Source organism: Homo sapiens, chromosome 17 (genome assembly GCF_000001405.40).
Source record: "Homo sapiens chromosome 17, GRCh38.p14 Primary Assembly".
Lineage (NCBI taxonomy): Eukaryota > Metazoa > Chordata > Mammalia > Primates > Hominidae > Homo > Homo sapiens.
Window position 1 is genome coordinate 67,341,796 of NC_000017.11, and position 24,567 is coordinate 67,366,362.

The window sequence follows — 24,567 nt, forward strand, 5'->3', positions numbered from 1 at the left end:
TCATTCATAAGTGACAAGAGCTGACAAGCTGATCAAGGAACAAACCTTCCAACTCTAATGTTCCATGAGTCTTACCACCTAAACTGTCACAGATCCTTCTGGGGACAGAAATGGCTTTCAGGCCATTACTACACACTTGGGTTAACTCCTCTTTGTGTGCTATGCATTTTGTCAACATAGAAACATGGACCTAAAGACAACACTGTTCCAACAAGACCTAGGATCACTTGATACTTAAGTTAGTTTTTGGTACTCAAGATTGCTTGGGAAACTATTACTCTATTACCTAAACATAAAATTAAATCATAACATTGATTTTCTTACTCAATTTTTACAAGTCAACATTCAAAAGGAATGCCTACAAATAACTCAAAGTTGATTACTACTTACATCAACAGATAGATCCAGAAGCTGTGCCATCCTTTTCATTGTTATCCGAGTATAATACTTGGCCATTATTCTAATATTCTGGGGAGAGGATAGAGAGCAGGGAGAACACGTAACATTTGTCAGTAAGTCTAAAAGTCCATTTATTTTCATATCCAAGTAAGTTTACTTAAAATGTTAGACTCAGAGCTTTTATTTTTCTACAGTCCATCACTGGAGCAAAGCTAGTTCTAAGTTTCAATAACAAAACTAAATACTTAGATATTTTGGTTTCTGTAGTTATTCTGAATTACTATGAATATTCTACACAGCTCTTTAAATATATAGTCAAAATATATGCCTGTCTTAACTAGTGGTTAAAAATTATAATTGTACTGAAATATTTTTGCTGAGTGCAAGAATCTAAAGTTAAGATTTTCTAATTATAACACAAATGTTTTAAAGGCTAAAATCTAAAAAATGATTGGAGATCGATCGGGTGCAGGGACTCACACCTGTAATCCCAGCACTTTGGGAGGCTGAGGCAAGAAGACTGTTTGAGGCCAGGAGACCAAGACCAGCCTGGGAACACAGCAAGACCCCATCCCCACAAAAAATTTAAAAATTAGCTGAATATGGTGGTGCATGCCTATAGTCCTAGCTACCTAGGAAGCTGAGGGGGGAGAATTCTTTGAACCCGAGAATTCAAGGTTACAGTGTGCTATGACTGTGCCACTGTACTCCAGTCTGGATGACAGAGCTACACTGACTCTCTTTCAAAAAAAAAAAAAAAAAGATTAGACATCATTTCAAATACTCATCACTTTACCATTATTCCAATGACTTAAAGATAGCTTCAAATTAAATTTCCTAATTTCAACTGGCGATGGTGCTGAAGTTAAGACACAGAGACTCCCCTTTACTGTTCTTATTGGTAGTATTATTAACAATAGCACTCAAAAAAAGGTGGGGGAACAGTGGGGAGAAAAATGAACTCAATCTTTGAAGAAGCTACATCTTCTCCCATCTCTATCAGGGCTGATGGCAACACCAACACATCAGAAAGCACGAGAAGCATTCTTCTCTGTGCTTTTATCCTTTAAATCTAACCTTTTCCTTCATGCTTTAAGTCTAATCAATGGCTGCATTCTATTGATTTCCTTCCTTAAAACAATCCCATTCCAAGCAGTCTTTAATCCGTTGGCTACTGCCTTATTTAAAATCCATGTATCTCTCACCTTACTAGTCTTCTCTAGTCTCCTATCTCTCCAAATGCATTCTCCACACTCACTCTCAGAGGGACTTGGTGCGCAGGCTGCCCTCCCTTGTTCCTGTCTGCCCGATAACCTCACACTCCTCTTACAAACCTCACCTCAATCATCGATTCATCCGACCTGATCATTTCTCCATGTAGAACTACCAAAGTTTCCCATAAGCCTCCCTCTGCTCTCTAGATACTTGTACTACAATATCTGATACTCTTTTTATTTATAAGTACGTCTTTCCCTATAATTTTTAATCTTATTAAAGGTAGAGTAATGGGTAATGTCTGTTTTTTTTGAGACGGCGTCTTGCTCTGTCACCCAGGCTGGAGTGCATTGGTGTGATCTCCGTTCACTGAAACCTCTGCCTCCTGGGTTCAAGCAGTTCTCCTGCCTCAGCTTCCTGAGTAGCTGGGATTACAGGTGTGCGCCACCACGCCCGGCTAATTTTTGTATTTTTAGTGGAGATGGGGTTTCACCATGTTGGCCAGGCTTGTCTCGAACTCCTGACCTCAGGTGATCTGCCCACCTCAGCCTCCCAAAGTGCTGGGATCACAGGTGTGAGCCACCACGCCCGGCCTAGGGAGGGTACTGTCTTATTCTCCTGTGTGCCCTGGTGCTTTGTAAAGTGTCTGGCACACAGAAGGCTCACAATAAAGTTTGTTACATGAAGGAGTGAATGGCAACATAATACAACATAACGGCAGTGATACTAAAAAGATCAAAGTTCAGGTTTAAGACATGTTACCTGCTTCCAAGACTAGTGAATATTAAGAGAGAAACACCCTCCTGCCCCCATTCTTCGGAAATTCTGTCTGGTTTATATACTATAAATTTTGGATTCTTAAGAGGTTCTCTCACAATGAAGCAAGCTAAAATATAGCTATCTTTTCTGAAAAGCCAAAAATAGGGAAAAAACCCAAGATGAGTGAGATACATTCCAATATGCTTTGGGAAATGCAGAGTAAACATCTGAACACCAAATGTGCATCACTACTACAGTGGGCATAGAAAAAAAATATCCTAAGTGAAGAATTAAACACATAACATCCTAAATGAACATTTGGTTATCAAATGTGACAAATGAAATAGTTTATGCTCAAAATTGCCAAAATTTAATTCTAAAAAGTAAATTCACTAAAGGTTAAAATAAAAATTGTCATCTCTATGACAGATTCTTACATGTTCAACAACTCTGTTCTTCAAGTCTTTCCACCTTTTTTCACCTTCCTCTGTAGAACCAAAAACATCCGTTGCAGGACTCTCAAGGGAACCTTTTCTTAATTCCATTCCATAGTCCTCAACAAGTGTGGACCAACGCATCAACTCCATTGTGGTAAAAAGCTTTAAAAGATCCCTGAAAATTGTATACATCTTAATATTCCAAATCTGTAAAAATTAAGTATTAACTAATATAATAGCAAAGTTCAAAAAATTCAGCAAAGACTGTTTTCGTTAAATTTTATTTAGTAGAATGAGACACCATATGATTATTGTGTATTTTACCAACTTTATTACCATTTTTCCCACAGTAGTTCAGAATACAGCATTCTCCCACTTAACACTCTGCTCTCTTCTGCACTGTCAATTTCTGAAATAACTGAATGTAAATGTACTCATGAAACAAACAGAAATAAGAGCCTGTTGTGTTTATGATGAAGCAAGTCTATTTTATATAATAGATTTTCACAAGTATGTATTTCTGAAAATCACAAAGCTCTAAACTACTAATGATGAAACTCTATCAAATAATTAATCAAAAGCTGCAAATGTAGACCTGATATGAAACTTCCACTTGATAAGCAATTTAGAAGAAAGTATGTTATAATCTCATTTACTGCTGATGCAATGCTAAAAAAAAATTCCACCACGTTATCCTCTCTAGTTTTATTCTCTAGTATACGCTATCAGTAACCAATTAAGAAGTACACACTTAGGCCAGGCGCAGTGGCTCAAGCCTGTAATCCCAGCACTTTGGGTGGCCGAGGTGGGCGGATCACCTGGGGTCAGGAATTCGAGACCAGCCTGGCCAACATGGTGAAACCCTGTCTCTACTAAAAATACAAAAATTAGCTCGGCATGGTAGCGGGTGCCTGTAATCCCGGCTACTCGGAAGGTTGAGGCAGAAGAATCACTTGAACCCAGGAGGCAGAAGTTGCAGTGAGCTGAGATTACACCATTACACTCCAGTGTGGGCAACAATAGTAAAACTCCATCTCAAAAAAAGAAGTATACACAGAAGTATACACTTAGGTTAGCCAATTTTCTTTCAAAATGGTGTTTCGACTGAGATATATCATGCTAATTTCAAAAGTACTTACTTGTATTTGGGAATTTCTTCTAACTTCTTGTCACCACTTATTCGGTGAACCAAATCTGACTGTTCATTGTCAAAAGGAGCCAGGATAACATAGAGTACAACACTCTTCAGAGCCTAAAAGAGTTGTACAACAAGTTATATGCAAGACTGGACATAATGGAAACTTTGACAAAAACTGAACAATCATGGAATAACTATATATCCATTTCAAATTTTAAAGTCTTGGCCGGGCGCAGTGGCTCACGTCTGTAATCCCAGCACTTTGGGAGGCCAAGGTGGGCAGATCTCCTGAGGTCAGATCGAGGCTATCCTGGCTAACACAGTGAAACCCCATCTCTACTAAAAATACAAAAATAAAAAAAAATTAGGCCGGGCACGGTGGTTCACGCCTATAATCCCAGCACTTCGGGAGGCCCAGGCGGGCGGATCACCTGAGGTCAGGAGATCGAGACCATCCTGGCTAATACGGTGAAACCCTGTCTCTACTAAAAAATACAAAAAATTGGCCGGGCGTGGGGGCGGGTGCCTGTAGTCCCAGATACTCGGGAGGCTGAGGCAGGAGAATGGTGTGAACCTGGGAGGAGGAGCTTGCAGTGAGCCGAGATTGCGCCACTGCACTCCAGCCTGGGCAAGAGTGAGACTCTGTCTCAAAAAAAAAAAGAAAAAAAAAAATTAGCTGGGCATGGTGGCACATGCCTGTAGTCCCGGCTACTCAGGAGACTGAGGCAGGCGAGTCACTTGAATCCGGGAGGCGGAGGTTGCAGTGAGCCAAGACTGTGCCACTGCACTCCAGCCTGGGCGACAGAGCGAGACTCTGTCTCAAAAACAAACAAAAAACAAATAAACAAACAAAAAAAAGTCTTAAGGGGAAAAATATTGCAAGGCTGCCTTTTCATAGTGTCTTTCTATAGTATTTAGTTTTCACAAAACTATTATAATAAATCATTGCTAATCTGACTTACTCCCCTCAGCTGACATTTTTCTTGACATTCATTTTTGACAAATGTATAAAGAAAAAGTTCTTATAACAAGTTAGCAGTATAAATGTGGAATATATATATAAATAAGCCCCTTAAAACAGCTTTTGTAAAATAATTTTCCAAAGTAATGCCGGGTCTTTAACTGCAACCTTTATTAGGATATGACCCACTGTACACATTTTAAACAGGAATCCTACATTTCTCCAAAAGTGAGACATAATCTAAACTATGGCTGCAATTGGACTGAATCAGTAATATACTGAACAACACTGAATAGAAAGCAGCACCATACAATTGCATCTAACTATTGCAGTTAAAAAGATTTGAAAATAAAAAAAGCAAATTACTCTTCTGAATAAGAAGCCATGTCAATTACACGAATATATTCTTACCTGCTGCCATTTTTCACTTTCTGCCTGTATACAGGGAGTATCATATATTGCTCTGTAGTGCTTACAAATAGACAAATAGGATCCCTCATGTTGATCCAGCTGAATCATTAAATTATAGTACTTCAACTTTAATTTCTGCAAAAAAGTTGACAAAACAAATTGGGGTTTATGGGTTTTATTCATACTTTTAAAGTAAACATGTGGTCACAGATATGCTCACCTCTGTATTTTCTTCCTGGAAAAATTTGGTGTTAATTTTCTTGCTGATGATTTGTGTTCGAATGTAATCCTTCACAGCTAGGCAGAGCCTCATTTGCTCCAAAATAAATTCCACTCGCTCTTTCTTTTCCATTGACCCGTAGGTTTCCACCTAGCACAGTAATTCCCCAAATAAGTTTATAATACTTTGCAATTTTGTGAATTGCAATAAAATGAAATAGATATTAAAATATTCATCCTTGTTAAATAATAAGAACCTTCATGTATATAGGGAGAGTGTTGACAATTACATTAAAAGCTAGTTACCGCTAGAAAATTACAATTTATAATGGATTTTCCCCCTTTTGGTATAAAATTCTATGAATTTTAACTCATGTAGTGATTTGCATAACCATCATCACAATGAAGACACAGAACCCCAAAAATCTTCCTCATACTGTCCCTTTATAATCACACACTTCCCCCACTCATAAGCCCTCCTAAGACATCCAGTGATCTGTACTTCATCACTACAAATTTGTCTTTTCAAGAATGTCAAATATAGTATGTAACTCTTTGAGGCTGTCTTTATTCACTCTGTATAATGGCCTAAATTGTAAGATTCACTCAAGTTATACATCAATAGTTCATTTACTTTTATTGCTTAGTAGTATTCCATCGTACAGACATACCACAGTTTATTCACCTGTTGAAGGATATCTGAGCTGATTTTATCTTTTTACTATCACAAATAAAGCTATTCTGAACAGGTTTTGTAGACTGGGTTTACGTAAACATAAGTTTTCATTTCCCGTGGGTAAATACTCAAGAGTGGGATTGCTGGGTCATATGGTAAGCATATGTGTAACTTTATAAGAAACTGCCAAACTGTTTTCCAGACTGGCTGCACCACCTTGCATTCTCACCAGTAAGGTACAGGAGTTCCAGGTGCTTTGCATCCCCACCAGCAATGAGTATTTTATTGTTTAAACTGTAGGCATTTTAATAGGTATGTAGTGGTACCCCATTGTGGTTTTAATTTGCATCTTCTTAATGGCTAATGAGGAAATGACAATTTTCAGTATGAAAAAAGATGCCATTCACAGGCTTTCAATCAAAATCCAAAATAATTATTGGTCCCAAACATTTTGGATAAGGGATACTCAACCTATATTTCCATTAGAAAATGCTGCTGACAAAACAAAGTTTTACCAACTCTAAAATGCAATACCTTACCTGTAACTCCTGTAAAATGGAGGCTGCCTCTTTCACATCACCATTTTGTTCTTTTATAGTTGCTAATGTTTTAGTCAGTCGCGCACGCTCAATTTCAACATAAATCTACAAATGAGAAATTTACACAATCAAAATTCCATGGAAACGTGTTAAAATTTAAAAAGTAGGCTGGGTATGTTGGCTCACACCTGTAATCCTGACATTTTGGAAGGCTGAGGCAGGAGGATCGCTTGAGTCCAGGAGTTTGAGACCAGCCTGGGAAACATGTTGAGCCCGTCTCTACTAAAAATCAAAACATTAGCTGAGTGTGGTGGCATGCACCTTTAGTCCCAGCTACTTGGGAGGGTGCCACAGGAGGATCACTTGAGCCCCAGAGTTCAAGGCTACAGTGAGCCATGATCAGGCCACTGCACTCTAGCCTCAACAACAGAGTGAGACTGTCTCAAAAAAATAAAAGGTAGAACTGAACTACTTTTTTTTGTTTTTTGAGATGGAGTTTCGCTCTTGTTGCCCAGGCCAGAGTGCAGTGGCGTGATCTCGGCTCACCACAACCTCTACCTCCCGGGTTCAACTGATTTTCCCGCCTCAGCCTCCAGAGTAGCTGGGATTACAGGCATGCGCCACCACGCCCAGCTAATTTTGTATTTTTAGTAGAGAGGGTGTTTCTCCATGTTGGTCAAGCTGGTCTTGAACTCCAGACCTTAGATGATCCGCCCACCTCGGCCTCCCAAGGTGCTGGGATTACAGGCGTGAGCCACTGTGCCTGGCCAGAACCGAACTATTCTTTAACCCAGCTATAAGAATATTTTACAGCTCTTGTGCACTTTATCCGCCATGTACAAATACAGCTGTGAGACATTTTATATTTCACAAATATAGCCATAATTCTTAAGAAAATGTCTCTATAAAACCTTATCCATATTTTGTAACTCTGCTTTGAGAACCTAAATATGAAATTACTATGTTTAACAAATAATAGGACCACAAGCTACATAAACGGCACAGAAGATGCAAAATGCCTTGTGATTATTTGAAAAGTGTGTTATATGTAGTCCAATGTCTTCAATTAATACTCTAATTCTGACTTATCTTTAAATACAAGACTACCTTCTTTAAAAATATCTAATTTTGCTAGGTATTAAAGTTGTTAACATTTTTGTAGCTATAAGTAATGTTAGTAGATTTATAATTTCCAACAAATTAAACACCAAAAATATGACTACAGTATAACCTAAAGCACCTAGTGAATGAATTTTCATGCTTAGGCTTGCTTACCCTATTTTCAATAATATCAAACCAATTACAGCTTCCTACATCTATTATACATTTCTTACTTTGTTATCTTTGAATATTATTTCCTCTATGTCTAAAATGCTCTTCTCCCACACCCTGACCCTGTAGAATTTTTATTCATTTTTTTTAAAGTCACATTTAAATCCGTGATAAGATACCCAATTCCCAGAAAAATCTAGATATACCATGGCTGTCAGTATTTAAATAGATTCATTTGCAGAAAGGGATGTACAAAGACATTATTGGTTGAATTACAGTGATGACATTTTGTGTATTTCTTTAAAAAATAAACATAAAAATATACAAAATATCTACATACATTAAGTATCTCTGAATACAGAAAAAACAGTTCATATCATTTTGAGTTATGTCAACAGAAAATTTACCTTGCCTTCGGTAACCATTCGTAGAGTATCAATTAATCGAAGTTTGATAGGAAGGTCTGTGATTTCCTCAACATAAGTACAGCACTGTTGAACCATTTTGGCAACAGCCTAAAATATTAAAAACCATTCATAAGTAAAATACATTCCTCACAGAGCGAAAAAATGTATTTTATTGATCAAAGAGCAATGATCGAACTTGGTCTTCCCAAGTAACTCTAGACACCAAAATGTCATAAAGAACATCACATCGAAATCTCACTGATACCTAAAAAGTACCGAGTACCCCGTAACAAGTCAGTAAAGGTCAGGAAAACCTCAGATGCAGAGATGCAGCCAAGCAGGAAAACATGGAAGAAATGGCATCTGACTAGGGGAAGAGAAAGCAGAGGTCCACAGCGGCTTGAAGCCATGACCTGCAGACACTGTGACTGAGGAGGAAAAAGGCAGTGGCAGAGGCAAAAGGCGAAACGGTTCTACCACCCGGGTGGGAGGAAGAGCCACAGTCACCCAAATTCACCTCAATACCATGTGACACTGAGAGCCAGAGACCCTCATGCCTTCAGTTTCCTCACAGGTTATATCAAGGGGCTAGAATACACTCCCTTCAGCACTAACATTCTATGATCCAGGTCACAAATCAGCAAACATTTTCTGTAAATTTTTGCAAATGTTCATAAAGTAGTTATTTTAGACTTTGTGGGCCAGTCTCTGTGGCAACTATTCAACTCTGCCTCCTTAAAAACAAATGAGTGTGGCTGTGTCCCAATGACTTTATTTATAAAAATAGGAGGCGGGTGGGATTTGATTTGTGTCCCATCATTTGCCAATGTTTGATCTAGATTTTAAGCAATATATGATAATCACTAACAATCAGGACCATGGGTCAGGCGTGGTGGCTCACACCTGTAATCCCAGCACTCTGGGAGGCAGAGATGGGCGGGTCACAAGGTCAGGAGATCGAGACCAACCTGGCTAACATGGTGAAACCCCGTCTCTACTAAAAATACAAAAAAATTAACCAGGCGTGGTGGCGGATGCCTGTAGTTCCAGCTACTTGGAAGGCTGAGGCAGGAGAATGGTGTGAACCCGGGAGGCGGAGCTTGCAGTAAGCCAAGATCGCGCCACTGCACTTCAGCCTGGGAGACAGATCGAGACTTGTCTCAAAATAATAATAATAATAATAATAATAATAATAATAATAATTAGGACCATGAGTCATCAAGAAAATGTTAAATTACATTAAGTATATTTTGGTTAAGGCAGCAGAAAAGTGAATAGAATATCTTAGAAAGATTTCCACGAAAAACATTTAATGTTTAAGCAGCTCAGGCTAAATGTTTTTGTTGTGGAGGTGGTTTTATTTTATTTTAGATTCAGGGGGTACATGTGGAGGTTTGTTTCATGAATATATTGTATAGTGGTGAGGTATGGGCCTCTAGCGAACCTATCACCCAAACAGTGAACATTGCACCCAATAGGTAATTTTGGATACACAGGTAACCCTCACCTCCTTTCATCCTCCCTGCTTTTGGAGTCCTCAGCGTCTGTTATTTCCACCTTTTTTTTTTTTTAATTAAAAACATTTTTTTGGCTGGGTACGGTGGCTCATGCCCGTAATCCCAGACTTTGGGAGGCTGAGGCCGGCGGATCACGAGGTCAAGAGATCGAGACCATTCTGGCCAACATGGCAAAACCCAGTCTCTACTAAAAATACAAAAATTAGCCGGGTGTGGTGGTGCATGCCTGTAGTCCCAGCTACTCAGGAGTCTAAGACAGGAGAATTGCTTGAACCCAGTGAGCCAAGATCGCACCACTGCACTCCAGCCTGGCGACAAGAGCGAGAATCTCTCTCAAAAAAAAAAAAAAAAAAATTTTTTTTAAAGAGATGGGGCCTCATTTTGTCACCCAGGCTGGAGTGCACTGGCATGACCACAGCTCACTGCTACCTCAAATTCCTGGGCTCATGTGATCTTCCCACCTCAGCCTCTTGGGCAGCTGGGACTACAGGTATGTGCCACCACACTCAGCTAATATTTTTAAAGTTTTTTTGTAAAGACAGGGGTCTCACCATCTTCATGCCCATGTGCACCTACTGTTTAACTTCCATTTATCAATGAGAACAAGCAGTATTAAACTTTTAACTATCTGAAACACTGGCTATTTAGAGACCCAGGCATTCTGGAAAGCTATGGTTTTATTGTAAACTATAACTCTTTCAATAAGTTCAAGGCCCTAGGACATGTAGTGTCTCACAAAACATAGGATGCCTGTAAAGTTAATTATAATAATAATTTCTAGAAGAGCACACAACTTGATAATTCTAAAAGCTGTGCAAAAAATACATTAACAGAAATCAGATGGGGTTAAAAACAACAACTACAGTAGTCTCCACTTACGAAGGTTTTGCTTTCCAGTTTCAGTTAGCCATGGTCAACTGTGGTGTGAAAATATTAAATGGAAAACTCCATGTATAAACAATCTATAAGCTTTAAGCTGCACACCATTCTGAGTAGTGATGAAATCAAATGCAGTCCCTCAAATCACCCTTCGGTCCAGTGTCTCCACACTACCCACCCTAGTCACTCAGTAGCCATCTCAGTCTCATGTGATCCACTGTATCCAGGGCAGTGCTTGTGCTCAAGCAACCCTTATTATACTTCACAATGGCTTCAAAACCCAAGAGTGGTGATGCTGGCCATTTGTATATGCCAAAGCGAAGCCATAAAGTGCCTCCTTTAAATGAAAAGGTGAAAGTTCTCAACAAGGAAAAAGCATAGTGGATATATGGTTTTGTACTATCTGTGGTTTCTGGTCTCCAGAGAGGATTTTTGGACATATTCCTTATGGACAAAGGGGGACTACTGTACATTAATACGCTAACAATGCAATGGGGAAGCTATTAAAAAAATTCTAATAATAAGTGAACGTCTTGCTCCTCTCTGAAAAAAATGCAAGACATTCAGGAAGTTACAGTTGGAGTGACCCCTTGGGCTCGAGTGACAGACAATGAATATAAACCATTCATATTAAGCAATTTAGAAAAGGTTATTTCCTTCCTTCCTTTCCTTCCCTTCCTCCTTCCCCCCGCTCCCTCTCTCTTTCTTTTGAGACAGTCTCACTCTGTCGCCCAGGCTAGAGTGCGATCTTGGCTCACTGCAGCTTCCGCCTCCTGGGGTTCAAGCGATTCTCCTGCCTCAGACTTCTGAGTAGCTGGGACTATGTGCGCCACCATGCCTGGCTAATTGTTTTTGTATTTTTAGCAGGGACAGGGTTTCGCCATGTTGCCCAGGTTGGTCTTAAACTCCTGAGCTCAGGAAATCCGCCTGCCTCGACCTCCCAAAGTGCTAGGATTACAGGTGTGAGCCACCATGCCCAGCCAAAAAGTTTATTTTCTTAAAGCTACTTTCTAAGTCTGCTTAAGCAAAAAATAAATTTCGTAGGTAAAAAATAATTATGAGAAAAGAGGACTCTGTGGGCCACAGAGACATTTATGTTTCCTAAGAACTTTCCATAGCTATGAAGACATAATATGTTACAGGGAAAGGAGCATGCCTGGCTCCACTTCTGGCTGTCACTAGCCAGCGGTGAGAGAGACTCAAATTCCTCTCTCTCCAAGAAGCCTTCCCCAATAAATCTAACTCAACATATTTTCTTCCTTCTTTCACATTTCTTTGTACATCTATTACTCTTGTGTCACTTATACATTGCCTAATGTATGTGTAGCAATTAAAAAAAATCTTAAGACTACTTGTTAAAGATGTGCTATGATTACTTGTGACTTACATACGTTACTAACCAATAGGGTGCCAAGGGCAAGAACTATAGGCTGCATGTCTCTTCACATTCCAAGCACTTTACATAAAAATACGTTTCTCCATTTGGAAATTAACAGGGCCAGGGGCCAGGCACGGTGGCTCATGCCTGTAATCCCAGAACTTTGGCAGACAAGGCAAAGGCAGGAGGACTGCTTAAGCTCACGAATTAGAGGCCTGGTCAACATAGCAGGACTCCGTCTCTACAAAAAGTACAAAAATTAACTGGGTGTGATGGCTTGTGCCTGTAGCACCAGCTACTCGGGAGGCTGATGGGGAGGACTGCTTGAGCCTATGAGATTGAGGCTGCAGTGAGCTATGATTGCACCACTGCACTCTAGCCTGGGCGACAGAGACTGTTTCAAAAAAAAAAAAAGGGAAGAAAAAAGTAAGCGTTAAGCAACACCCCCTACTAGCTCTGAGTTTTTATGGCATGAGAAATTAAAGTTTAAGATGTGTGCTTTGAATTGTCCTAATACTACATAAAACATAAATTTTTGTTGATTTCAACCTAGGTTGCCCCAAGACTTCTAATTAAGGAGCCCTTTCAAAATTGTCCCATAGAGAGTAAGTTTCTTAGAAAATAGAGTAAGACGATGGTTTGTCTAATAATTGTCTCTCAAACCACTGAACTGGGCACCAAAAGGCACATTTAAGTAAATTTCATGGCTGGGTGTGGTGGCTCATGCCTGTAATCCCAGCACTTTGAGAAGCTGAGGTGGGTGGATCACTTGAGGTCAGGAGTTCGAGACCAACCTGGGCAACATGGTGAAACCCTGACTCTACTGAAAATACAAAAATTAGCTGGGTGTGGTGGCACATGCCTGTAATCTCAGCTACTTGGGAGGCTCAGGCAGAAGAAGTGCATAAACCCGAGGGGCGGAGGTTGCAGTGAGCAGAGATGGTGCCACTGCACTCCAGCCTGGGGGACAGAGCAAGACTGTCTCAAATAAATAAATACATACATAAATTTCACATTCACATATTTTAGGTTGTCTCAATTAAATTAAATCTATACTAATTCTTCACATCGGCTTGCATATTTTTGGTTTTTTTTTTTTTTTTTTTGGAGACAAGAGTCTCATCCTGTTGCCCAGGCTGCAAAGCAATGGCACAATCTCGGCTCACTGCAACCTCTGCCTCCCCAGTCAACTGATTCTCCTGCCACAGCCTCCCAAGTAGCTGGGATTACAGGCGCCTGCCACTACACTCAGCTAATTTTTGTATTTTTTGTATAGACAGGGTTTCACAGTATTGCCCAGACTGGTCTCGAACTCCTGGGCTCAAGCAATCCACCCACCTTGGCCTCCCAAAGTGCTGGTATTACAGGTGTGATCCACTGCACTGAGCCAACACTGTCTTTTATATGCATGTAAACTTACCTAAAGAAAAATAAACCAAAATCAATTACAGTAACTGACTTCTGCAAAAAATAATTTAACCCACTTTAATACTATCCTTACCCTAGAAGCAGTCTAATTAATAAAATCAGGAATTTGTCCAGTAACACTATATATCTATTTTTGGTTCCATTACATCCTCTTTTACAATGCCATTGTCTTTATTATTTAAAGCAAGAAATTAAAACCCAGAAACTACTCAGGAAACAGTATTTAAAAGATGAGATAAAAATGTAAAAAATGAGATCTACTTGTACAGGGGAACATTTAAATATATCTCAAGAAGAATAAGGAAACAGTAAAGAAAAATCCAACTTCACCAAAACACTAAAAGAGAACTTACATAATCTCTAAACAAAATGAGCAAAATAGTCTCTCTAAAAATGGCCTCAAAAATAAGTTGGAAGCCGGGTGCAGTGGCTCATGCCTGTAATCCCAGCACTTTGGGAGGCTGAGGTGGGAGGATCACTTAAGCCCAGGAGTTCAAGACCAGCCTGGGTAATGTAGTGAGACCCAAGCCCCCATTTCTACACACACACACACACACACACACACACACACACACACACGCACACACACACAAGATTAAATGTTTAACAGTACATTCTTTTGGCAGACTTCAGTTTTCTCAGGCAGGCACTCTAAGTGGGGGTTGGGTCATCCTGGAAATGCAGCCTTGAGCTGTTAGAAACAATCTTAGTATTTGTTTAAGTCTACACAGGACAAGGTTAAGGACTTGTCAAGAAGAGGGCTCAGAGAGTTTAGTCAAGGAGAGAAATCTTTATCAACATGCATAGTTTTTGAATGTCAGTAATACCTCAAAAAGCTGTTTTGCAAAAAAATCATATATTGGGATAATATAAGAAAATGAACTTTGGGAGGCCGAGGCGGGCGGATCACGAGGTCAGGAGATCGAGACCATCCTGGCTAACACGGTGAAACCCCGTCTCTACTAAAAATACAAAAAATTAGCCGGGCGTGGTAGCGGGCGCCTGTAGTCCCAGCTACTCGGGAGGCTGAGGCAGGAGAATGGCGTGAACCCGGGAGGCGGAGCTTGCAGTGAGCCGAGATCGCGCCACTGCACTCCAGCCTGGGCGACAGAGCGAGACTCCGTCTCAAAAAAAAAAAAAAAAAAAAAAAAAAAAAGAAAATGAAATATTTAGTTACTACTAAAAAAAAATTTTGAAACAGCATAAAAAGATGTGCTTAATAAAAGGGATATGACTAAATAAAATGAGAATATCAGCTTGATAAATTAAAACAAAACCATTTAAAATAATAAAAGTGGGGCTAGGCACAGGGACTCATGCCTGTAATTCTAGCATTTTGAGAGGCCAAGGCAGAGGGATCACTTGAGCCCAGGAGTTTGAGACCAGCCTGGGTAATATAGTGAGACCTCATCTCTACAAAAAATAAAAAAATTGGCCAGGTGTGGCGGCATGCGCTTACAGTCCCAGCTGCTTGGGGGCTGAGGTGGGAAGACTGCTTGAGCCCAGGAGGTTGAGGCTGCAGTCAGTTGTAATCATACCACTGCACTCCAGCCTGGGTGACAGAGTGAGACCCTGTCTCAAAATAAGTAAATAAATAAGGAAAAAATAAAAGTAGCAATACCAAAATAGAACAAAGCTGTATGAACACTCTAAGTACAACACAATTTTTAAAAATATGCAAACATATAAAGACTAGAAGAAAAAACAGAAAACAGTCATATCATTGTGAGAATGTAGACTGAATTTTAAAACACCCTCTAGGATGTTACAACGTTGACTTAACACATTTTAAACAGACTTATAGAAGAGCTTGTGAAAAGTTCTGAAATACAAATGCTTTTGTGTTTGGAGCAGACATGATCATGAACTCACTTGTTTTAACTGACTCCGCCTTTTGGACAAAAGCATAATATTTTCATTAAGTAAATCCCATTCTTTAGCCTCATAGCACATCTTCACTACTGCAACTAAGATACGGGATGTCGATACCATATCGGAAGCCTGTAAGGGTAAAAATATATTGAAAGTTAATGGAAGAATGTTCAATGAAATTAATGGTAACTGAGCTTTCCCCTGTAAACTACTCACAGTACGAGTCTGCTTTTCCAGAGAGAGAAGGGTTTCAATGACTTCTTGAAGTCTTCCTTCCTAAAACAAAAGATGAAAATGAACAATAAAAAAACACACAAAATGCAAATAACTAGTCTAAAATGAAATGGTTTTGACACAGAAAAGGAAAAATCAACAGCCTCTTCTAGAGGAAAAGGACTACCCATAACTAGTTTTGTTTCTCTCCTTTTCATGATAGTGCTTCCTTCTCTAGTGGGTTCCATCAGTCAGTGGTTCCCTACTTGAAGCCCATAAGCTATTTTTAATATTTTTAAATGCCTAAGAGAAACTGAACATATAACAATCATGTAACACCTAAGAAAACATCAAGTCTTTGTTTTGGATTCTAATTTATCAACTCAGTGTGGTAACACCTGTTTATCTTGTTCTTTTTTTTTTTGAGACAGAGTCTCACTCTTTCACCCAGGCTGAAGTGCAGTGGCACCATCTCGGCTCACTGCAACCTCCACCTCCCGGGTTCTAGCGATTCTCATGCCTCAGCCTCCGGAGCAGGTGGGACTACAGGAGTGCCCCACCACACCCGGCTAATTTTTGTTGTTTTTTGTAGAGATGGGCTTTCACCATGTTGGCCAGGCTGGTCTTGAACTCCTGACCTCAAGCGATCATCCCACCTCGGCCTCCCAAAGTGCTGGGATTACAGGCCTGAGCCACTGCATCTGGTGGATCCTGTTCTGATCAGAGACTCTAAGTGGTAGTCACATGTGTCTTTAAAGAATAAAAACAGAGGCCAGGTGCAGTGGCTCATGCCTGTAATGACAGCATTTTAGGAGACCGAAGGGGGCAGATATCTTGAACTCAGGAGTTCGAGACCAGGCTGGGCTACATGGCGAAACCTGTCTCTACAAAAAAATACAAAAATTAGCTGGGCATTGTGGTGCATACCTGTAGTCCCAGCTACTCTGGAGGCTGAAGTGGGAGGCTGGCTTGAGCCATGGAGGTGAAGGCTGCAGTAAGCCAAGATCGCACCACTGCACTCTAGCATGGGCGACAGAGTGAGAACCTGTCTCAAAAAAAAAAAAAAAAAAAGAAAAGAAAAAAAAGAAAAAAAAAGTAGGAAAATAAATGATTCCTTTATGAAGTTACCGTCACCCTAACAGATATTTTAAAATACAGAGTTCCAAGGAGAAATAAAAAGAATGCTTGGAGCTAAAAGACAGGAAACTATGGTTTAATTTTTCAATGACTTTAAGAATAAATTAGTAATCATGCTTACCGGAAATGAAGGCATCTGAGAACACCCACACATGCTATCCTTAAAGTCATGCTCTTGAGCAGATACTGATTCAACTGAAATACAGTTTCTGACAACTTACACTAACCTCTCCACATCTCTAACTCAGATGTAAAAATAAAACATTCTCCCTAGGCTATATATTTAGAGATTGGAACAATAAAACTCAAATAATATAAACATAAATGATAATACACCAGGAGTAAAACAAGTTATCCTATTAGGAACCACACATTTTGATAAAACCAAAACCAACATACAGCACAAAAACTGCACTCATTGGCCAGGCATGGTGTCTCACGCACTGTAATCCCAGCACTTTGGGAGGCTGAGGTGGGAGGACACTTGAGCCCAGGAATTCGAGACCAGCATGGAAAATAGGGGCAGATCCTGTCTCTACAAAAAATTTACAAATTAGCTGGGCAAGGTAGCCTGTGCCTGTGGTCCTAGCTACCCAGGAGGCTGAGGCGGAAGAATCACTTGAGTGCAAGAGTTTGAGGCTGCAGTGAGCTAGGAATGTACCACTGCACTCCAGCCTGGGTGACAGAGTGAGACCTGGTCTCTAGATAAAAAATTTTTAAAATGCATTTATTTAACATGCTAATATTAATAACTATCATGTAAATATCTCTGACAATAAATTGAAATGAGAAGAGTATTGTTTAAAAATTGTTTTTCTAACCAAAAATGAATTTTTTTTATCTTAATAACATTCATGGATGATACGTGAGTACTATCCTTTTCTACTGATGAAAGAAACTTATTAAATAGCTTCTGAATTATGGGCATAAATAATGTTTTGACTTTTTAAAATACTGCTGCCATATTTTTCCAAGATAGCTTTTAAACATGCATGAATCTTCCATGCGGCACAGCATATATACTGCATGGCCCGTCTGAACTTATTTTAATTAAATCTGAAATATGTGATTCTTAACATATTTTAACAACGTTTCCTGTTTGGAGAGCCCTAGTTCTCCTTTCTCTGAAAGTTCTATAGATTTATATATATAATAAATACTGGCTAAATGTTCATCAGAGGAAAAAAACAATGAACAAATCTATAAATTCTCCAAAGTTGAAGGCTAATAAATCCTAAAAGATGAAAGAATCTTAGAACTAGAAAGACGGCTAGGCATTATTTAATTCAATCATTTCATTTTAGAGATTAAAAAGACTGAGGACTAAACAGCTTAAAATGACTTGCTTAGCCACAAAAGGAAATGAGCAGCACTAGATCCGGGGCTCCTGCCTCAAGCTCCAAAGCTCTCTCCACTAGAGTGCAGCGCTTCCCCTACTGTACTAGTTTAAATCTCACCTTTCGCTTTGATCAAAGTCATCTCTATGGTTACTATCTGGCAACAAAATGAAGGGCAAAAATAGTTAAAATGCAAAATACTATTTAATGACAGTCACCCATCACATTTGCAATTACTATTAGTCACGTGACTGTGATCAATAAAGTGTGGTTTAATATATGGTATTCTAATTCAGAAGCATGGGTATTAAATTGCATCATACATGTGAGAGAATCACACATTGGCCTAAAGCCACAGTCTGGAGTATCAACAAAACATTAAACGTCATTTTCTTACAAAGGCATTTTTGGATAACACTCTCTAAAAATCAGTAGTCACTTAGTACCTCTTCCTTTCATACTCAACCATACTGACTCTACTCTGCAATTACCCCAAACTATATTCTATTTTGGTGTTTACTGTCTTTCCAATCTCAGTAGAATGCGAACTCTGTAAGAGCAGGGATGCCATGTCTATACTGTTCATCACTGCAGTTCAGTGAGCTGCATCACACCAAGCACATGCCACTGCTTCTGCAGACACTATGGTCCATCCTTCCATCCTTGTATCAGTTACTGATGCACATAGCTTACCTCCTAAGTGGTCTACAAGTTCCTTTAGGGCTGGATCCTCGTTTACTTGTCACTTCTCTTTGCACCAACCTCCATATAATACGTGTTGAATGGATTGGCACTCACCTGATCTGTATTCAGTTGATCTCAATGGCTTACGATTCCTGATTCTTACTGTCACAATAAGCAGGATGTGACAAACTATACCGTTGACAATTTAGTGCTATTTGAAGGACACTACCATCATTTCATTTAATACAATTTCCAATTTTCAAATCATCCCCCTTTTTTCTCCCAATCTTCCACATTCTACCCTATGGCTAAACATCCTCCTCTTTTTCCTGTCTATTCACTCAGGTCCTGAAATTCCAACTCCTTGATGCTGCCTTTCAACTCAGAGGAACAAATGGTTAGAAAGCTATCCAAAACCAACCTGTTAGAACATGTGACTTCAGTGACTCATTTTCCTCATTAAAATAATCCTTGTAAATGATGTAAGCGACTAATGAGTTTGTTCAACATCAATGTTGAGTATAAGTTCTGTTTGCACCTCCTTTAATTCCTGAATGAATCCAATCTTTCAATGATTTGTTACACAACCTAAATAAGAAAGAAAAAGGCTAATAAAAAGTCACCACAGCCAGGCATGGTGGCTCACGCCTGTAATCCCAACACTTTGGGAGGCCAAGACGGGCAGATCACTTGAGGTCAGGAGTTCAAGACCAGCCTGGTCAACGTGGTGAAACCCCATCTCTACTAAAAATACAAAATTTAGCCGGGCGTGGTGGTAAGCACCTGTAATCCCAACTACTTGGGAGGCTGAGGCACAAGAATCACTTGAACCCGGGAACGGGAGGTTGCAGTGAGCTGAGATCATGCCTCTGCACTCCAGCCTGGGTGAAAGAGCGAAACTCGGTCTAAAAAAAAAGTCACCACAAATAGTTGAAATTTAAAGCCAGTCCAATACTCCCCCTACATAGTCCAACTTTTAAAGTGACCTATTCCTTAAAGGGGTCTCTTTTGTTTAAGCTGTTAACAATGTAAACTGTTTTACATTTCACTTGCTCTTTTTGACATTAACCATAAGAGGCTGAAGGTGACCAAAAGAAATGAAAAGACATTAAGCCAGGTACAGTGTTGTGCACTACCAGCTACTCAGAAAGCTGAAGCAGGAAGATCTCTTAAGCTCAAGAGTTTGAGATCCCTGTATCTAAAAAAAAAAAAAAAAAAAAAAAAAAAAAAAAAAAAGGAAGGAAGGAAGGGAGGGAGGGAGGGAGAGAGAGAGGAAGACATTAACATTTAGGCCTAGTGTTCCATTACTGGAACGCTAAGCTTGTGGGAGTTATTTATATCCTACTGCTCAAGGTCATCGCCAAGATCTGATTTTTCACAAAAAAGATTTTGCAACCTGCAGCACAAATGGGTTAAGAGGAAGGAGAATCAAAGGATACATTCAATTTAAGAATGTAAGTAGTCCCCAAATAACCATGTGCCAAATACAACATAATCAAAAAGAGAGAATGAGAAACCCTCAGTATATTAAGAACTGCTAAATACCATATCTTTACAGTGCAGAAAAGGCCCTCCTTAATTTTTAACTCCTGAATACAAGGCAAAGAGATAACCATCATCAAGAACTAGTATCACTTTTACTAACACCCCATCATCCCGACACAGGGTGCTTACACACCAATCACAGAGGCGGTAGAATGGTTAATTTATACAGGCTCTGGCTGGGCGCGGTGGCTCACGCCTGTAATCCCAGCATTCTGGGAGGCTGAGGCGGGTGGATCACAACATCAAGAGTTTGAGACCAGCCTAGCTAGTATGGTGAAACCCTGTCTGTACTAAAAATACAGGCATGGTAGTGCACGCCTGTAGTCCCAGCTACTGGGGACGCCGAGGCAGGAGAATTCCTTGAACCCGGGAGATGGAGGTTGCAGTGAGCCGAGATCGCGCCACTGCACTCCAGCCTGGGCAACAGAGCAAGAGTCCATCTCAAAAAAAAAAAAACAAAAAAAACCCAAAAAAAAAACAAAAAAACAAAAAAAACCCACTACAGGCTCTGCAGCCAGACTGCTCAGGTCTAAATCCCAGCTGTACTACCATATTACCTTGAGTAAAACACAAGCTCTCTGACTCTCAATTTTCTCTTCAGCGAAGTGGGCACAATAATTGTACCAATCCACAGGGTTGGTGTAAGATTTAAATCAATACCTATAAAGGCATGCCTGGAACACAGTATGAGTACATATCATTATCATCATAGCAGCTGACATTTTAATAAAACGTATACAGCAATAAATATTAGTTATTATCATTTGCAACATGGGTGTTAGGACAGACATAAAACTGTACTAGGTGACAACTACAAGTGATTTAAAGGATCTACATTTGGCAATTTTACAAACCAACTCTAGGATTTGTCTGCCTTTCTAAGGCTTCTGCTAAATACAGTTTCCCATCTAATACATTATTAAGTCTCTATATACAACTTTTTTTTTTTAAGAGATAAGGTCTCACTCTGTTGCCCAGGGTTCAGTGCAGTGATGCGATCATAGCTCACTGCAACCTCGAACTACTGCGCTCAAGCGATCCTCCTGCCTCAGCCTCCAGAGTAGCTGGGACAACAGGTGCGTACCACAACACCTGGCTAATTTTAAAAATTTTTTTGTAGAGACAGCATCTCGTTAGGCTGGCCTCAAACTCCTGGCCTCAAGTGATCTTTCCACCTGGGCCTCCCAAAGTGCTATATACACAATTTTCATCTTCAAATGTCTTTCACATTTAAAATAAAAAATGCCTTAAGGAAATTAAGGACAGAATTGATAATCTCTTAAAGAGGTAGTAGCAAAAAGAACACTATTCTTTTTACCAGGAGATGTGAGTTTGATCTGCCTTGAATAAACCACTTAAGCTGCCTGAAGCTTAAATTTTCTCACAAGTGAAAATAACAAGACGTTCTTCATAGTTTGATGGGCTCAAAATAAAATCAAAAGAATGTATACTAACTGTTCCATACATTCCAATGTAGAAATGCAATGTTAATTTTTTTTTATGTTTGGCAGAATGGTTAGAAAATAATATGAAATGGAAAATAAAAAGCAGCTGGGCACGGTGGCTCATGCCTGTAATCCCAGCACTTTGGGAGGCAGAGACAGGTGGATCACCTGAGGCCAGGAGTTTGAGACCATCCTGACCAACATGGTAAAACCCCGTCTCTACTAAAAATACAAAATAAGCTGGACGTAGTGGTGCATGCCGGTAATCCCAGATACTCGGGAGGCTGAGGCACGAGAATCGCTTGAAACCGGGAGGTGGAGGTTGCAGTGAGCCAAGACCGCGCCACTGCACTCCAGCCTGGGCAACAAGAGCGAAACTCTGTCTCGAAACAAAAAATAAAAAAAATAAATAAAAAGCAAAACAGAAAAATATGTTTAAAAAAATTAACCAGGAGTGTAGGGTAACCATCTAATTTACAGTTGAAACTGGCTCGGTATCAAAAAACAAACAAAAAAAGTATACCCTCCCACAACATATACCTTGTTTTATTCAGCTGGCACACTGGCTTAAAAAAAAAAATCAAAATTCAAATGTATCTATCTTAACAGGCCCCAACATTCTTTTTTTTAAACACTTCTGTTACCCACTGGACACCTAAAAAGGCATATGGTATTGGAGTTTGCAAGTTTTTCAACAGCCTGGAGCATAACAACAATTATTTAGGAATAAATGCTACATAAGATCACCAGAACAACTGTAGCAGTGAAGTCTTTTTTCTTACTGATCTATAAGCTGTTCGAGGGCAAGAGCTTTGTCTAGTAATCTCTGTATTTCTCATAGTGTCTAACACTGACTAGGTCTTGCAAACAGTAGACTGGTATTAACAGAAATTCATAAAAGGAAGATTTGGTTGTCCTTCTCTAGAGCAAATTACTTGTTTCTTCCTTATGGACACTATCATTCTATTAATTCCAAAGTGGAGGTTCAGGGGCTGACCTTGGCCTGTATGTTTTGTTCTAGCTACATTGTATTGGCTCAAATAGTATTTTAATATGACAGATTAGTATCCAATTTCTAAATATTAAGGTATTTAATGAGAAATTCATCTTCCTGGTTTCTCCCTCAAATTAGCAGCATCGACAATACTCGGCCTTCATCCCCAATTGGCAAAGATTATCTGAAGGTGAAGATCTGCCGTCTCCTTTTCCTGGGCAGGTGCTCGAAAGTTCAGGTTTTTGGCCAGCCGCGGTGGCTCACGCCTGTAATCCCAGCACTTTGGCAGGCAGAGGTGGGTGGATCACTTTAGGTCAGGAGGTCGCGTGCGACCAGCCTGGCCAACGTAGTGAAACCCCGTCTCTACTAAAAGTACAAAAATTAGCCGGGCGTGGTGGCACCTGTAGTCCTAGCTACTCGGGAGGCGGAGGCAGGAGAATCGTTTGAACCCGGGAGGCGGGGGTTGCAGTCAGCCAAGATTGCGCCACTGCACTCCATCCTGGGTGAAAAAAGTGAAACTCCGTCTCAAAAAAAAAAAAAAAAAAAGTTCAGGTTTTCACTACAATAGGCTTCTAGGCAGGACAGCATGGTGTGTGAGGGCACCAGCTCCAGAATCTAGAATCGGTCTGCCTGGGTTTGCTTCTTGGCTTCACCACTTTACTAGCTGTATGATCTTGGGGCATGTGATTCAACTTTTTCTAGCCCAAGTTTTCTTACCTGTAAAATAAGGATAATAGTAATAGCCATCGCATAGGGCTGAGGTGAGGATCAAATGGCTTAGTGCATGTAAGCACGGTGCCTGACACTGCAGAAACTACTCAACAAATATCAGTTATTGTTATCTGTCTGGCATTGGAGGCGGCTGAGTTTTCCCACCCTTATGTAACTGATGTTTGTTGATGCTAGCTGCTAGAAAGCTCTTAATGAATTTGTGGCTCCCCCTCAGCAAGCATACTGAACCTAAGATATACATACGTACCAACTTTATCACCTTTCTCCATCCTTGTTTCTTGGAAAGCCCGTTAAACTCTTATAGTGCCTACTTGTCTTTACTTCTGTAGTTCCGTCTTCAGTAATGACTCCACCCCACCTCAATCTTACTAATTCCTCAAGACCCAATACAAACGTCAGCCTTCCTGTAAAACCTTCCCTTATGGCACCATTAAGAATGCATAGCTTCCTTCTCGGTGTTCCAGTAACACTTTCCCCTTGTATGGCCCTCACCACCATGCATGACTTGACTAATTCATCACGTACATCAACTCCTAAAGGACAGGGTCCTGTGTTAGTCATCTTCGTACTATCACTTTCCTGCCCCTTCTCCTGGCCAAAGACCAGGCACATAGCCATGATCCACAAACGATGTAACGACATAAATTGATTGAGCAACAGCAACAGAACGAAACTCTCTGATCTAGCCTTAATACTGAAGCGGCCTTAACCCCTGGGAAACTACTAAGGTAAATATCACTTAAACAGCATCCAAGAAACGGCAAAAAGTTAAACGGAGCCCTAAGTCCCACGGAGGGAAGTGACCATCTGTTTTGGGGAGGGTCTGGGAAGCTATAGGCGCTGGCGTACTCCGCAGCCCTGGCCGGGCCGACCTGGGGTCTCCCACTCGTGCAGGCCCAACTAGGGCTGGACAGGCATTGGGGGGTGCACGCTCCAGCCCGCAGGCCCCCTGAGGCCTAAGCAGGCTCCGCGC

General features: G+C 40.2%; 1 protein-coding gene across 4 annotated transcripts in view, besides 1 other annotated feature; it reads right to left on the reverse strand.

Annotated features, from left to right (window-relative positions):
- PSMD12 (proteasome 26S subunit, non-ATPase 12) overlaps positions 1 to 24,567 on the reverse strand; it is a 28,662-nt gene that overhangs the window by 3,880 nt on the left and 215 nt on the right. Inside the window, exons 2-12 of one of the 4 annotated variants that reach the window (NM_001316341.2) lie at positions 20,981 to 21,097; positions 19,300 to 19,466; positions 15,724 to 15,783; positions 15,508 to 15,636; positions 8,434 to 8,541; positions 6,755 to 6,859; positions 5,541 to 5,690; positions 5,321 to 5,455; positions 3,950 to 4,062; positions 2,811 to 2,985; positions 391 to 468 (exon numbers count right to left, since the gene is read on the reverse strand). In NM_001316341.2, the coding sequence (NP_001303270.1) occupies positions 391 to 468; positions 2,811 to 2,985; positions 3,950 to 4,062; positions 5,321 to 5,455; positions 5,541 to 5,690; positions 6,755 to 6,859; positions 8,434 to 8,541; positions 15,508 to 15,627 (984 nt within the window). In that variant the 5' untranslated portion in view covers positions 15,628 to 15,636; positions 15,724 to 15,783; positions 19,300 to 19,466; positions 20,981 to 21,097. Of the gene's footprint in view, positions 1 to 390; positions 469 to 2,810; positions 3,018 to 3,949; positions 4,063 to 5,320; positions 5,456 to 5,540; positions 5,691 to 6,754; positions 6,860 to 8,433; positions 8,542 to 15,507; positions 15,637 to 15,723; positions 15,784 to 19,299; positions 19,467 to 20,980; positions 21,098 to 24,567 lie in introns of those variants that run through there. The other 3 variants (NM_002816.5, NM_174871.4, XM_047436440.1) reach the window with 3 other exon arrangements.
- Positions 12,158 to 12,452: a silencer, noted in NCBI's record as "tiled region #8649; HepG2 Repressive non-DNase unmatched - State 15:Elon, and K562 Repressive non-DNase unmatched - State 17:Gen3'". NCBI's record gives its function as "represses a minimal TATA promoter and a strong SV40 promoter by Sharpr-MPRA in HepG2 and K562 cells {active_cell/tissue: HepG2 | K562}" and the evidence as "EXISTENCE:reporter gene assay evidence [ECO:0000049][PMID:27701403]".